The 14,533-nt window shown below is 38.6% G+C and overlaps 1 protein-coding gene across 10 annotated transcripts in view; it reads left to right on the forward strand.

Annotated features, from left to right (window-relative positions):
* The window catches only part of MARK1 (microtubule affinity regulating kinase 1), a 136,326-nt gene that overhangs the window by 103,481 nt on the left and 18,312 nt on the right, over positions 1–14,533 (forward strand). For all 10 annotated transcript variants that reach the window (XM_017001305.3, NM_001286124.2, XM_005273134.6 and 7 more), the window contains 3 exons: positions 585–697; positions 3,760–3,913; positions 4,217–4,410. In XM_017001305.3, coding sequence (XP_016856794.1) covers positions 585–697; positions 3,760–3,913; positions 4,217–4,410 — 461 coding nt within the window. The remainder of the gene's footprint in view (positions 1–584; positions 698–3,759; positions 3,914–4,216; positions 4,411–14,533) is intronic.

The following is a 14,533-nucleotide window of genomic DNA, read 5'->3' on the forward strand; positions in this document are numbered from 1 at the left end:
TTGTTCTCTTCATTTCACAATCCCTTCCCAAAGCCATCATTTAGTCTCAGCTGAGTCATCTCAACTGTGTTCCTATCTGGCTTGAGGGCAGAGTGGCAGGGGAGAGCATTTTAGGGTGTTAGGAACCTGATCAGAAAAACCATGGAAATTCAAATCTCCCAAAGAAGAGTCAACCTACTGCAAATCAGAAAGCAGAAAATTTTAAGAGATGAAAGAAACCACTTCACTAGTAGCTGAGGACGAATTGAGAGAAAGACAGAGAATTTTGTGTGTAACAAAGACTGACATGGTCTTAGACTGGACAAAGAAAGTTAGCTCAGGAATGTATTAGGCAATGAGAAATTAAGTGGGCCCATTAATATATTAACCATGATGTAGGTAATTTCTGCATGTAAAATTATCATTGTACAATATCTGTGAACATATGGTATCCGTAGGTTAATAGTCCAGAAGTTTTTAAAACTACACTTTAAATTTTCATGACTAAGTTTTCATATTCAAAGATGGCAAACTTGCCCATTTTTGTTGATTTGTTTACGAAAATAAAACCATTTTCAGAAAATTTCTCTTTTTTAAATTTCTAGACATTATGGTCACCATGGGCTTTGCACGAGATGAAATAAATGATGCCTTAATAAATCAGAAGTATGATGAAGTTATGGCTACTTATATTCTTCTAGGTAGAAAACCACCTGAAGTAAGTTTTTCACCTTTTCAGATTACTGTGAATTATTTCTTGAGCTAATATATTAGTTAATATATTCTTTGTGGAATCAAAAATAATATAAAGATCCTACCCTAACATTCTTATTTATTGGAATTCAAAAATCAAGATGTTAAATTATGAACTGGTTGTATTTCTGGGTACCAAGAGAGATTTTATGAAAGAATAGGTCTACTGTCTTTCTTAGCTCCAAGAGCCACCATTCACAGCCTGGCCTTTGAGAATGGCCTCCCACACAGCTTGTGCATCCAAATGTAACAGTCCCACCAAAGGTAATATGGTTATTCCAAGTGTGCAGAAAAGACAGTGAGTGAAACATGAGGAAGTGATAGCATTTAAAATAAAATGTATGTCTTAAAGGATTTTTAAAAGAGGTAACTCCAGGAAAGGTTATTTGATGATATTTTGCCTTATAAAGTGTCAAGTGACTGATGCTTTCAATTGGGAATTCTCAAGGCCAGGAGAACTATAATAAGGAGATGGATTCAGGAAATAACTGCATACAAATGGTGAACTATGTTAGTCAGTTTTGCATTGCTATAAAGAAGTACCTGAGACTGGGTAATTTATAAAGTAAAGAAGTTTATTTGACTCACAGTACTGCAGGCTGTACACAAAGCATAGTGTTGGCATCTGCTTCTGGTAAGGGCCTCAGGAAGCTTACAGACATGATGGAAGGTGAGGGGGAGCCAGCATGTCACATGGCAAGAGGGAACAGGTGAGAGGTGGGGGAGGTGCCACGCTCTTTTAAATAACCAGATCTAGCGTGAACCCGTAAAGGGAGAACTTGTTACCACGAGGGCAGCACCAGGCCATTCATGAAGTGTCCACCTTCCTGACTCAAATACCTCCCTCTAGGCCCACTCCAACATTGGAGGTCACACTTCAACATGAGATTTGGAGGGGACAGAGCATCCAAACCATATCATGAAGCATAAAAGCAATGATTCTTTAGGAAAACAAATATAAAGGCTATACATCGAGAGTCAAGAACAGATCGCAGAGCATTAACAATTTATTGGAAGTTAGACATCTGTGGGAGGTATTTTAGAGAGAAAAAGCTGAAATTATTTATAATTCCGTAGTAACTGTTAATGGAGCAGTGCATTCCAGCTGACATATATTGAACCTTTATTGTACCAGAAACGATGCTGTGTACTGTGAATAGAAGGACGAGAAAGTCTCTGCTCTCAAGGAGCCCTTAGTCTAGAGACGAGGTGAGCAGTTAATAGTATGGTACAGTATGTGTTCTGATTTGGGGGATGCACAGCATACTCTGGGAGCATATAGGTGGACATGTACCTACAACAGGCTAAGGTCAGACCCACCAAGGCAGGTCTGTGTGACATGTAAGAAGTAGAATTAACAGTAGCACTTGGCGACCAGTTGGAAATAAGAGATAAGAGCCCATGAGATTTCCAATATGGAAGACTGTGTAAGCACATTTGCCAAGATAGGAAAGGTACAGATTTCAGGGGGAAGAGGGGAAGTTCAATTTGAGCTGGTTGAATTTGAGATTCCTGTTGGATGGAGCTATTAGGCATTTGGATATAAAGATCTGAATTGGAGGGAGAGATTTGAATAATTAATAGATTTGGAGTCTTCATTAGAGGGGAACACATTGCACACAGTAGTGTGCCAGGAACTGTTCTAAGGACTTTACAAATACTAATTAATCCAATCCTCCCAGTGAACCTACCAGGTAGGTACTATTATAATGGAAGAGAATCTTTAGTGGAGACATTAATAGCTAGAGATGTGGTATCAAAGAAGCCAAGTCAAGAGAATTTTAAGTGGGAAATAGTATGAATGGTTATTTCTAAAGGCTTTGAACTGAACTGTTTCTACTTAGATTTTAAAGTACACTCCCGAAGTCTTTAATTTTCCTGTTAATTTAAATATAAAAGAAGCACTAATTTTATAAGTATATAACCATGCCACGCATGAATTTAAATGAAGTATGAATTGTATCAAATATAAACGAATGAGGCTACTGGTAAGTAGTAAGAGCCTGAACTTCGGAGCCAGCTTCACTGGATCTAAGCACCCCCACCCCTGCCCTACCCCAGCACAACCACTAACTATGCAACTAAGGCAATTAATTTTCTGTGCCTCAGTTTTCTTATCTATAAAATGAGGGCAATAATGTGCTTATCTTTTAGAATCATTGAAAATGTTAAATGAATGAGTACTTATAAACTCGGAACAGCTTCTAGTGAATTATTATGTGCTTAAAAACTTGAAACAGTTTCTAGTGGATTATTATGTGCTCTGCATTAGCTGTTTATTATCATCGGTATTGCTCTGTGATTTATCATTAGTATTATCTATATATGAATTTAGATTTCCTATTGGGATGCCAGTGATTCCAACAAAAGTTTGCTGGCAGCAAACAACTTGTATGTTACAGAGAGAGGGATAGTGTGTCAACCTGCAGTTTACCATGCTGAGTTCTAAATAAATATAATTTCCTGATCAGAAACAGTAAACCAGATTTTTTTTTTGCAAATGTGGAGAAAACCAAACAAATCTATATGTATGTTTATATGCATACATATGTGTATATACATGTGTGTATATTTAAAATTTTAGATTTTATTGTAAGTTTGAATCTCAGTGATGCCCCTTAACTTTTTTAACCTCAGTTTTTCCATCTATAAAGTGTAGGTTAATACATCATAGGTTTGTTGTGATGATTAAATAAAGTGACATATAGAAAGAGCTTATTTAGCACAGTGCCTAGTCTATAATAACCCATTCAGTAATTGGTAGCTGTTATTTCGTATTTTGACTAAACTAAGGATTTGTACAAGATAATACAAGATTATGAGTAGTCACTAAAGCGTATTCTATCCAGTTCACCCCTTTTCCTGCTTGCCAACTTAAAGTTCTAGGCCCAATACTACACTGTTTTTTCAGTTTGGATTACTTCTTGTATAGCTTTAAGTCATTTAGAAAATCAAGAGTGCAGTGTTTGTGCAAACTTTTTTTTTTTTTTTTTTGCTTTAAAATCCCTGTGGTTTTTCTTCTTATAGTTTGAAGGTGGTGAATCGTTATCCAGTGGAAACTTGTGTCAGAGGTCCCGGCCCAGTAGTGACTTAAACAACAGCACTCTTCAGTCCCCTGCTCACCTGAAGGTCCAGAGAAGTATCTCAGCAAATCAGAAGCAGCGGCGTTTCAGTGATCATGGTAGGGGAAAAAGTCACATAAGTGAAGCAACACACGGGTTCTTCCCAAATTTGTGTTTTTAAAGCATTGTACATTCACGTCTCTATGTGCTTGTGTTATCTAGTTCTCACAGACTTATATTACTGAATTATAAATATAATCCCTTTTGCAGGGACTGACCTGATTTTTGAAATCAAAATTTAATCTTCGTTCAGAGTTTAAAGCATGCAAATATGGATAATTTTAATACAGAGTTTTTGTTTGTGAGCAGAAAGTAGATCAGTTGTTTTTCAGCTCATTATGCTATTTTTAAAAAAATTATAGCTGGTCCATCCATTCCTCCTGCTGTATCATATACCAAAAGACCTCAGGCTAACAGTGTGGAAAGTGAACAGAAAGAGGAGTGGGACAAAGATGTGGCTCGAAAACTTGGCAGCACAACAGTTGGATCAAAAAGCGAGATGACTGCAAGCCCTCTTGTAGGGCCAGAGAGGAAAAAATCTTCAACTATTCCAAGTGTGAGTAAATACTCTGGTATATTGCAATTTATTGTAATAACTTGTTTTAGGGTTATGTGTAAAATTTTTATCTTTCATTTTTTTAAATGATTGAAAAATTTAAAGGGAATTATAATTTAAAGAACATGCAAAAGGGACCACACTTCTCATAAATGCAAGTTAAAAACAACAAAAAAGAATTCTTTTTTGCATGCGTTAACACTTAACCTCAACACAAAATGGTACATGAAACTTTCCTGCTTCATTTTCCTTTTTATAATGTTTATTTAATATTATATTGGCACATTTCATTTTTATTTACCAATAAGCTGTTTAATGAAGGCAGACTCAGTTAAATAATTAATTTATAAAGTTGCCTCACATTATTCACTTAAAACAGCAAACTAGAAATTATATAATGGGAACTAGAAGAAGATGCTCTCCCATAAGGCAGCAGGAAAGAATAGAGATAAGAAAATATAAAAGAAAACTAAGATATACGAAATGTAGAAATAAGACTTGGTAACATTCAGATAATAGGTGTTTTGAAAGGAAAGGGAGCAAAATGAAGGAGGAGAAATAGTTAAAGAAATAATAACAAAAAATAAAGAGGGAAGATTTCATTTTGAAAAGACCCAGAGTGACAAATAGAAGCCAGAAAGAAAACCTATTCCTGGACTCTTAAAATAGAATTTATAGATACCAAAAAAAAGATGAAGAATATTTTAAAGATTCCAGAGTCAGCGCAGACGACCTTAAAAGGAACAAGATTCTGTAGTCCCAGCTACTCGGGAGGCTGAGGCAGGAGAATAGCTTGAACCCGGGAGGTGGAGCTTGCAGTGAGCTGAGATTGCACCATTGCACTCCAGCCTGGGCAGCAGAGCGAGACTCCGTTTAAAAAAAAAAAAAAAAGGAACAAGATTCAGATTGACCTTAGGTTGATCAATAGCAACATGGATACAGTAAGATAAAGGGAAACATATTTTTAAAGTATTGAAAGAAAAGCTCATTGAGCCCAGAAATCTTATCTAGCCATGTTGTCATTTAAATATGAAGGTACAAAAACCATGTTCTTTGGCATAAAATGTCTCAACTGTTTTACTACACGGTGACCATTTGAAAACACCTTAGTTGGAGGAAGCATTCTTACGGGAAGAGAAATGAATCTAGAATGTTGCTGTAAAATATATAGGAGTTGAAAGTAATCAACTTACTAAAGTATTTTATGTAGTAACATAAGCAAAAAGAGGAAAATAATGAAAATTCAGAATCAAAACTCTGAATAGTATCCAGGGCATAAGGATAGAGGTGGAGATTAAAGAAATATAAACAAACACATGCCTTGTTAGGCAGATGATAGGAGTAAGTTTAAGAAATCATTAGCAGTTAAGAGAGCAGGCACAGTGGCTCACACCTGTAATCCCAGCACTTTGGGAGGACGAGGTGACTGGATCACTTGAGGTCAGGGGTTTGAGACCAGCCTGGCTAACATGATAAAACCCTGTCTCTACTAAAAATATAAAATTAGCTGGGCATGGTGGTGCACACCTGTAATCCCAGCTACTTGGGAGGCTGAGGCAGGAGAATCTCTGGAACCTGGGAGGCAGAGGTTGCAGTGAGCCAAGATCATGCCATTGCACTGCAGCCTGGGCAACAAGAGTGAAACTCCATCTCAAAAACCAAAAAAAAGAAAGAAAGAAAGAAATCATTAGCAGTAAGCAGCAAACATGAGTTCAGGAACTTAAGGGTGAACAATGTAAGAACAAAGAATTAAAACCTTTAAACCAGCAGAAGGAAAAAAAAAAAAACCTCAGCCTGTGGACAGGAGAGAAAAAAATTACTTTAAATAGCAAATGCAAGATAAGATACCAAAATGCGCAAAATTCCAAGTGGCTTCAACTCCCTAATACCCATTATTTTATGTAGTCCACTGGAGCCTTACCTCTTTTGAATATGGTTATGTATATTTGAATATGTATGTATGATATGATTAGATTATCACCTTTTAGTCTGTGGAACAGATGTGCATAACCACTTCAAGAATTGATGGATAAAACCACTTAGCTTCTACCTGATCTGTTTAGAAATGATTGAACTATAATGGGGCTTAAATTTTTTTTTTTTTTTTTGCTACAGAAGCCACTATTTGCCTTAGAGGACAGTTTCCAGTGTAATCACCCCACATAGCAGAAAGAAATAATTGGTCCCGTACTTTCTACCATTTAATATTAACCTGTCATTTGACTGAACTGAGTCTTATTTTTCCATGAACATACTCAGCTTTGTCTATCTCCATGTCTGTCTTTATGTAGTGCCCTTGCCTAAACAGTCCCCTTACATTATGAAAATTCCATTTCCATAGATCATTTCAAGTCTTGTCTCCTGGACAGAATCTTTTATGGCCAAATACTCCAAAACCCATCAGCTTTTTCAATTGCTTATCCTGTCATTTAGCTCTTAGCTGTTTATATGCTGTCTTGTTTCATTCACTGTTGTTTTCCCATGTAAACCTTATCTCCCCAAATTTATAATCTGTTGTATATTGACACAGCAGCTTTCTCAGAGTCATTAGTGCTGAAGCATACAGTGTGTATTCAAAGCATATTTATTAAAGAAGGCATAAAAATTAAGAAATTAGTTTAAATTCAAATTAAATATGTCACACTTATTTATCATTTTTTTAAAAAAAACATAAGCGAAAAGATTTTGATAGAGAAATTCTGTTCTTAGCCACATAATACTATAATATATTGTTATTTACTGTTTTAATTTTGGTAGTTTGAGAAACCAAAGTAATATATTTTGTTTAATTTTAGCACTATAGGAGTTTCTAAAGTAAAATTAATCATCTCCTCTTCCCTATCCATTTCCTTTTAGTCTGAACTCCTAATTATAACTAGTGCTAATCATTTAGGATTAATTCTTCTATAGGTTTTCCTTCATTAAAGAAAACATAGGCTGGGTGCAGTGGCTCATGACTGTAATCCCAGCACTTTTGCAGGCCATGGAGGAAGGCTTGCTTGAGGCCAGGAGTTTGAGACCAGCCTGGGCAACCTAGTGCAACTTGATTTCTACAAAATATTTTAAAATTAGCCTGGTGTAGTTCCAGGCTAGTTCCAGCATGCCTATAGTTCCAGCTACCTGGAAGGCTGAGGAGGGAGGATGACTTGAGCCCTGGAGTTTGAGGCTGCAATGAGCTATGAGCTATGGTTGTACCACTGTGCTCCAGCCTGGGTGACAGAGTGAGAGACCCTGTCAAAAAAATAAAAATAAAAATAAAAATAAATAAGTGAATGTATATGTACACAGAGCATTATTTTATTTTACTTTTTTATAAAAATGAGATCATACTATGTAACATTTTAATTTATTTCACTTATAATAGTTTGGGGGTCCTTCTAGATCGGAACATCAAGATCTTTTTAATAGATGCATATTATTTCATTGGTATTAACAGATAGATATAATTTATTCAACCTTTCTTTTGGTGAAGTGTTCAGAGTTTTTCATTCTCCAGAGTGCACATCCTTATACATTTATGTTATTGGTATACTTCTATTAGAGGCATTCTCAAAAGTTCCATGTCTGGGTCTATGTGACTTCTTTTTAACCTCAGTGGCAAAGAGGCAGGCTCCTCATGCTCCTCAGTCCATGACACAGTCACCCTTGGTCTGTGCAGTCCCATCCCCACTGGCACTCACCTCACCTAAAACCTCAGCTCTGATGTGTCTTAGTATACTTGACTATGTGTATATCCTTGGAATATATACATTTAAATTTTTAATAAATGCTACCAAAGTAATTTTCCAAATGGTTGGGATAATTTAGAGAGTAGTTATTTCTCCACAAACTCATCAACAGGATATTATCAATCTTTAACATTTTTGCCAATCTGAAGGGCAAAAAGAAAAAAAAAGTTTCCATTTGTTTTCAATTTGCATTGTCTTGTCTATTGGTGACATTGATGGTGTGGCCCACAAAACCTAAAATGTTGACTATATGACTCTTTACAGAAAAAGTTTGCTAATCACTGCTTTAAAGCCAAAACACACAGCTTTAATACCTTTTCTTTGAGGTAATTTTTAGAAAGTACTTGAGCATTTACAATTCAAGCCCTGTAATAGTGTAAAATATTGCCTGAACAAATGAACATTTTTACCAGTGTCAGTAGAATATAATGGAAAACATTAAATCCATTCAAATGGCATGAAATGGTCCCTTGCTTTCTGATGGAAAAAGAAATAGTGCCCATAACATCCATAGGTAATTAACAGGTGATAGTACATTTAACGTTTATAAAATCAGAATTGTCTTAGTCAATAGTAAAAGCTCTTGCTTATAAGTATGATTCTATTGACAGTATTATTTAATATTAGTTTAGTATCTTGACTGAAGGATGATACTGGCAGATGATCTTTAAAACTGGCCAGTTGATAGCATGGGGAGAGTTTTGAGTTAAATAGTTAAATAGAATAATGGTTGGATAAATGTTTTGGTTAGTTATCTGAGTCATCTGTTTTATTGTTCATCACCCACAACCATCACAGACTAGAAATGAAAGGAGTCTCTCTTAGTTCATTTTGTGTTGCTATAACAGAATACCACATAATGGATACTTTATAAAGAAAAGAAATTTATTTCTTACAACTCTGGAGGCTGGGTAGTTCAGTATCAAGATGCCAACTTCTGGTGAGGGCATTATTGCTGCATCATCCCGTGGCATAAAGTGAGGTCAAGAGGGCACATGCAAGAAAATAAGAGGGGGCCAAATATGCTTTTTATAACAAAGCCACTCTCAGATAACTAACGCACTTTCACAAGAATTCCTTTGTGAGACTAGAGCCTAATCACCTCTTATCAGCCACACCTCCCAACACTTTTGCATTGGGGATCAAGCTTCTAACACAGGAACTTCAGGAGACACATTCAAACTGTAGCAGAGTATTACTATTTGTAAGTAAGGTGCAGGAAAAACAAACTTAATATTTTCCTTCTAGAAATTCCCATCCAAAAATTATATGTGGGAGTTCAGGGAAAACCCTTGACTAGCCTAGAAACTTGGGAGCTAAGTGTTGAGTTTTGAAGACACAAATATGTTGTGCTGTTTTTGAATCAAGAAAACAATAAAACTTGTAAAGGTATTTTCCATATTATCTATCACATGTGTGAGCAGTACAAAATATAAAATGATGTAAACCACTGTGGTATGAATCTTAGTGCCCCCTGCACCCTCTGCCAAAATTCACATGTTAAAATTCTAACCCTAAAGGTGGTAGTATTAGAAGGCAGGGCCTTTAGGAGGTGATTAGGTCATGAGGGCCCTCACGAATGGGATTAGTGCCCTTACAAAAGAGGCCCAAGGGAGCTTGTTCTACCCTTCTACCGTGTGAAATCACAACAAAAAGATGGCCATCTAGGAAGCGGGCCTTCACATGCTGAGTATCTCTGCACCTTGATCTTGATCTCACAGCCTCTAGAACTGTGAGAAATATATTTCTGTTGTTTATAAGCCAGCCAGTTTATGATATTTTTTTATAGCAGCCCAAACAGACTAAGACATGAACGCTAAGAAAAGTATTAATCAATTTTTTTACAAAATAAAGGGAAGAAGGAAGGGCCAAAGATGGCTGAGTAGAAACAATGCCTGTCTGCATCTCCCACCGAGAGGAACGCAAAAGGCGAGTGATTTCTGCCCTTCCAACTGAAGTACCCAGGTTCTTTCATTAGAACTAACTAGGTGATTGGTGTAACCCAAGAAAAGCAAGGAAAAGCGGCAGGGGTGGGGGTGGGCGGTTCACCCAGGAGCTGCACTGGGCAAAGGGACCTCCCTCCCCGAGCCAAGAGAGGCAGTGAGGGAGTGTGCTGCCTGCCTGGGGCACTACGCTTTTCCCACAGATTTTTGCAACTCATGGATCGGGAGATTCCCTATGAGCCTACACCACCAGAGCCCTGGGTCCCAAGCACAAAACTGGGCAGACCCATGGCAGCTGCCCCTGTCAGCAGCCGTTTGGACAGGCACTGAACTGCAGGAGTTTTTACATAATCTGGTGGCTCTCGAAACTCCAGAAAGGCAAGAGATTTGTCCACTCCCGTGGAAAGGGGGCTGAAGCCAGGGAGCCAAGCAGCCTCACTCAGTGGGTCCCCCTCCCATGGATCCCCCGCAAGCTAAGAGCCACTGACTTGGAATCCCCACTGGCCAGCACAGCAGCCTGGAGTCTGCCTAAGATGACCAAGTTCCCAGCGTTGGGGGCAACCGCCATTACTGCAGCTCTAGTCAGTGATTTTCCCCTGCCAGTGTTAGGGAGGCTGCATGGTTTGGACTGGGCTGTATTCCCCCACAGCACAGCATAGCAGCTGTGGCAGATCATGGCCAGACTGCTTCTTTAGGTGGGACCTGGATCCATCCCTCGTCACCAGGCAGGGCCTCCCTGCAGGAATCCCAGCAACTCCAGCCAGGGTCTTACAGACAGAACTCTCATCTCCCTGAGACAGAGCACCTGGGGGGAGGGGCAGCTGTGGTCTCAGGTTAAGCAGTCCTACCTGCTGACTCTGAAGAGTCTGGGCGTTCAGAATGAGGGCAATTCCCTGAGCACAGATCACCAGCTCCACCAATGGGCAGCCAGACTGCTTCCTTAAGGACGTCCGTGATACTGTGCTTTTTGTCTGGGTGAGACCTCCCAAGTGGGGTTAGTAGACAACTCATATGGGAGAGTTCCAGCTGGCATCAGGTTGCTGCCCCTCTGGGACGAAGCTTCCAGAGGAAAGAGCAGACAGCAATCTGCTGTTCTGCAGCCTCCACTGGTGATACCCAGGCAAACGGTCTGGAGTGGACCCCCAGAAAACTGCAGCAGACCTGCGGAAGAGGGGCCTGAGTGTTAGAAGAAAGACAAACAGAAAGCAACGACAAGTACATCAAAAAAGACCCCACAAAAACCCCATCCAAAGGTCAACAGCCTCAAAGATCAAAGGTACATAAATCCACGAAAATGAGGAAAAACCAACAAGAAAATGCTGAAAATCCCAAAAGAAGAATGCCTCTTCTCCTCCAAATAATTGCAACACCTCTCCAGCAAGGGAACAGAACTGGCTGAAGCTGAGATGGATGAACTGACAGAAGTAGGCTTCAGAAAGTGGGTAATAATGAACTTTGCTGAGCTAAAGGATTATGTTCAAACCCAATGCAAAGAAGCTAAGAACCGTGATGAAAGATTACAGTTGTTAACTAGAATAACCAGTTTAGAGAGGAGCTTAATGACCTGGTGGAGCCGAAAAACACAGCACGATGCAAACACAAGTAGCAACAGCCGAATAGACCAAGTGGAAGAGAGACTATCAGTTTGAAGACTGTCTTGGTGAAATGAGGCAGGCAGTCAAGATTAGAGAAAAAAGGATGAAAATGAATGAACGAAACCTCCAAGAAACATGGGACTATGTAAAAGGACTGATTGGAGTACTTAAAAGAGACAGGGAGAATGGAACCAAGTTGGAAAACACACTTCAGGATATCATCCAGGAGAACTTCCCCAATCTAGCAAGACAGGCCAACATTCAGATTCAGAAAATACGGAGGACCCCAATAAGATACTCCACAAGATCAACCCCAAGACACATAATCATCAGATTCTCCAAGGTCAAAACGAAGGAAAAAATGTTAAGGCCAACCAGAGAGAAAGGCCAGGTCACTTACAAAGGGAAGTCCATTAGACTAACAGTGGACCTGTCAGTGTAAACCCTGCAAGCCAAAAGAGATTGGGGGCCAATATTCTACATTCTTAAAGAAAATTTCCAACCCAGAATTTCATATCTGGTCAAACTAAGCTTCAAAAATGAAGAAGTAAAATCCTTTTCAGACAAGCAAATGCTGAGGGATTTTGCCACCACCAGGCCTGCCTTGCAAGAGCTCCTGAAGGAAGTACTAAACATGGATAGGAAAATTTGTTACCAGCCATTACAAAAACACACTGAAGTACACAGACCGATGACACTATGAAGCAACTACGTTAACAAGTCTGCAAAATTGGCCACCCAGCATTATGATGACAGGATCAAATTAACACATAACAATATTAACCTTAAATGTAAATGAGCTGAATACCCCAATTAAAAGACACAGAATGGCAAGCTGGGTAAAGACAAGATCCATCAGTGTGCTGTATTCAAGAGACATATCTCATGTGCAGAGACACACATAGGCTCAAAATAAAGGGATGGAGGAAACTTTACCAAGCAAATAGAAAGCAGAAAAAAGCAGGGGTTGCAATCCTAGTTTCTGACAAAATAGACTTTAAACCAACAAAGGTCAGAAAAGACCAAGAAGGGCATTACATAATGGTAAAAGGTTCAATTCAACATGAAGAGCTAACTATCCTAAATATACATGCACCCAATATAGAAGGACCCAGATTCATAAAACAAGTTCTTAAAGACCTACAAAGAGACTTAGACCCCCCCCCCCCCACACACACACAATAATAGTGGAAGACTTTAATACCCCACTGTCAGTATTAGACAGATCACCGAGACAGAAGATTAACAAGATACTCAGGACTTGAACTCAGCTCTGGACCAAGTGGACCTGATAGATATCTGCAGAACTCTCCACCCCAGAACAGCAGAATATACATTTTTCTTGGTGCCATGTGGCATTTACTCTAAAATTGATCACATAATTGGAAGTAAAACACTCCTCAGCAAAGGCAAAAGAACTGAAATCATAATAGTCTCCCAGACCACAGGACAATCAAATTAGAACTCAAGATTAAGAAACACACTCAAAACCACATAATTACATGGAAATTGAGTGACCTGCTCCTGAATGACTTCTGGGTAAATAATGAAATTAAGGCAGAAATCAAGAAATTCTTTGAAACTAATGAGACCAAAAAGGCAGTGTACCAGAATTTCTGGGACACAGCTAAAGTAATGGTAAGAGGGAAATTTATAGCACTAAATACCACATCAAAAAGCTAGAAAGATCTCAAATCAACACCCTAACATCAAAACTAAAAGAACTAGAGAACCAAGAGCAAACAAACCCCTGAGCTAGCAGACAAGAAATAACCAAGCTCAGAGCTGAACTGAAGGAGATAGAGACATGAAAAACTCTTCAAAAAATCAATAATCCAGAAGTTGGTTTTTGAAAATATAAATAAAACAGACCACTAGGTAGACTAATAAAGAAGAAAAGAGAGAAAATTTAAATAAGCACAATCAAATGATAAGGAGGATGCCACCATTGACCCCACAGAAATACAAACAACCATCAGAGAATACTAAAAACACCTCTATGCAAATAAACTGGAAAATCTAGAAGAAATGGATAAGTTTCTGGACACATACACCCTCCCAAGACTGAAAGGAATAGCTTGAATCCCTGAATAGACCAATAACAAGTTCTTAAATTGAGGCAGTAATAAATCGCCTACCAACCAAAAATAGCCCAGGACCAGATGGATTTACAGCTGAATTCTAATAGAGGTACAAAGAGGAGCTGAAACCATTTCTTCTGAAACTATTCCAAACAATTGAAAAGGAGGGACTCCTCCCTGACTCATTCTGTGAGGCCAACATCATCCTGATACCAAAATCTAGCAGACAACAAAAAACTTCAGGTCAATGTCCCTGATGAACATCGATGCAAAAATCCTCAATAAAATACTGGCAAACTGAATCCAGCAGCACATCAAAAAGCTTATCCACTGCGATCAAGTTGGCTTCATCCCCAGGATGCAAGGCTGGTTCAACATACGTGAATCAATAAATGTAATCAGTCACATAAACAGGACTAAAGACAAAAACCACATAATTATCTCAATAGACACAGAAAAAGCCTTCGATAAAATTCAACATCCCTTCATGTTCTCAATAAACTAGGTATTGAAGGAACATATTCTGAGTTCCTTAAAAATAGTAAGAGGCATATATGACAAACCCACAGCCAATATCATACTGAATGGGCAAAAGCTGGAAGCATTCCCCCTTGAAAACTGGCACAAGACAAGGATGTCTTCCCTCACCACTCTTATACAACATAGTATTGGAAGTTCTGGCCAGGGCAATCAGGCAAGAGAAGGAAATAAAGGGCATTTAGATAGGAAGAGAGGAAGTCAAATTGTCTTGGTTTGCAGATGACAGGATCCTGTAT

This window comes from Homo sapiens, chromosome 1, assembly GCF_000001405.40.
Source record: "Homo sapiens chromosome 1, GRCh38.p14 Primary Assembly".
NCBI classification, from domain to species: Eukaryota; Metazoa; Chordata; class Mammalia; order Primates; family Hominidae; genus Homo; species Homo sapiens.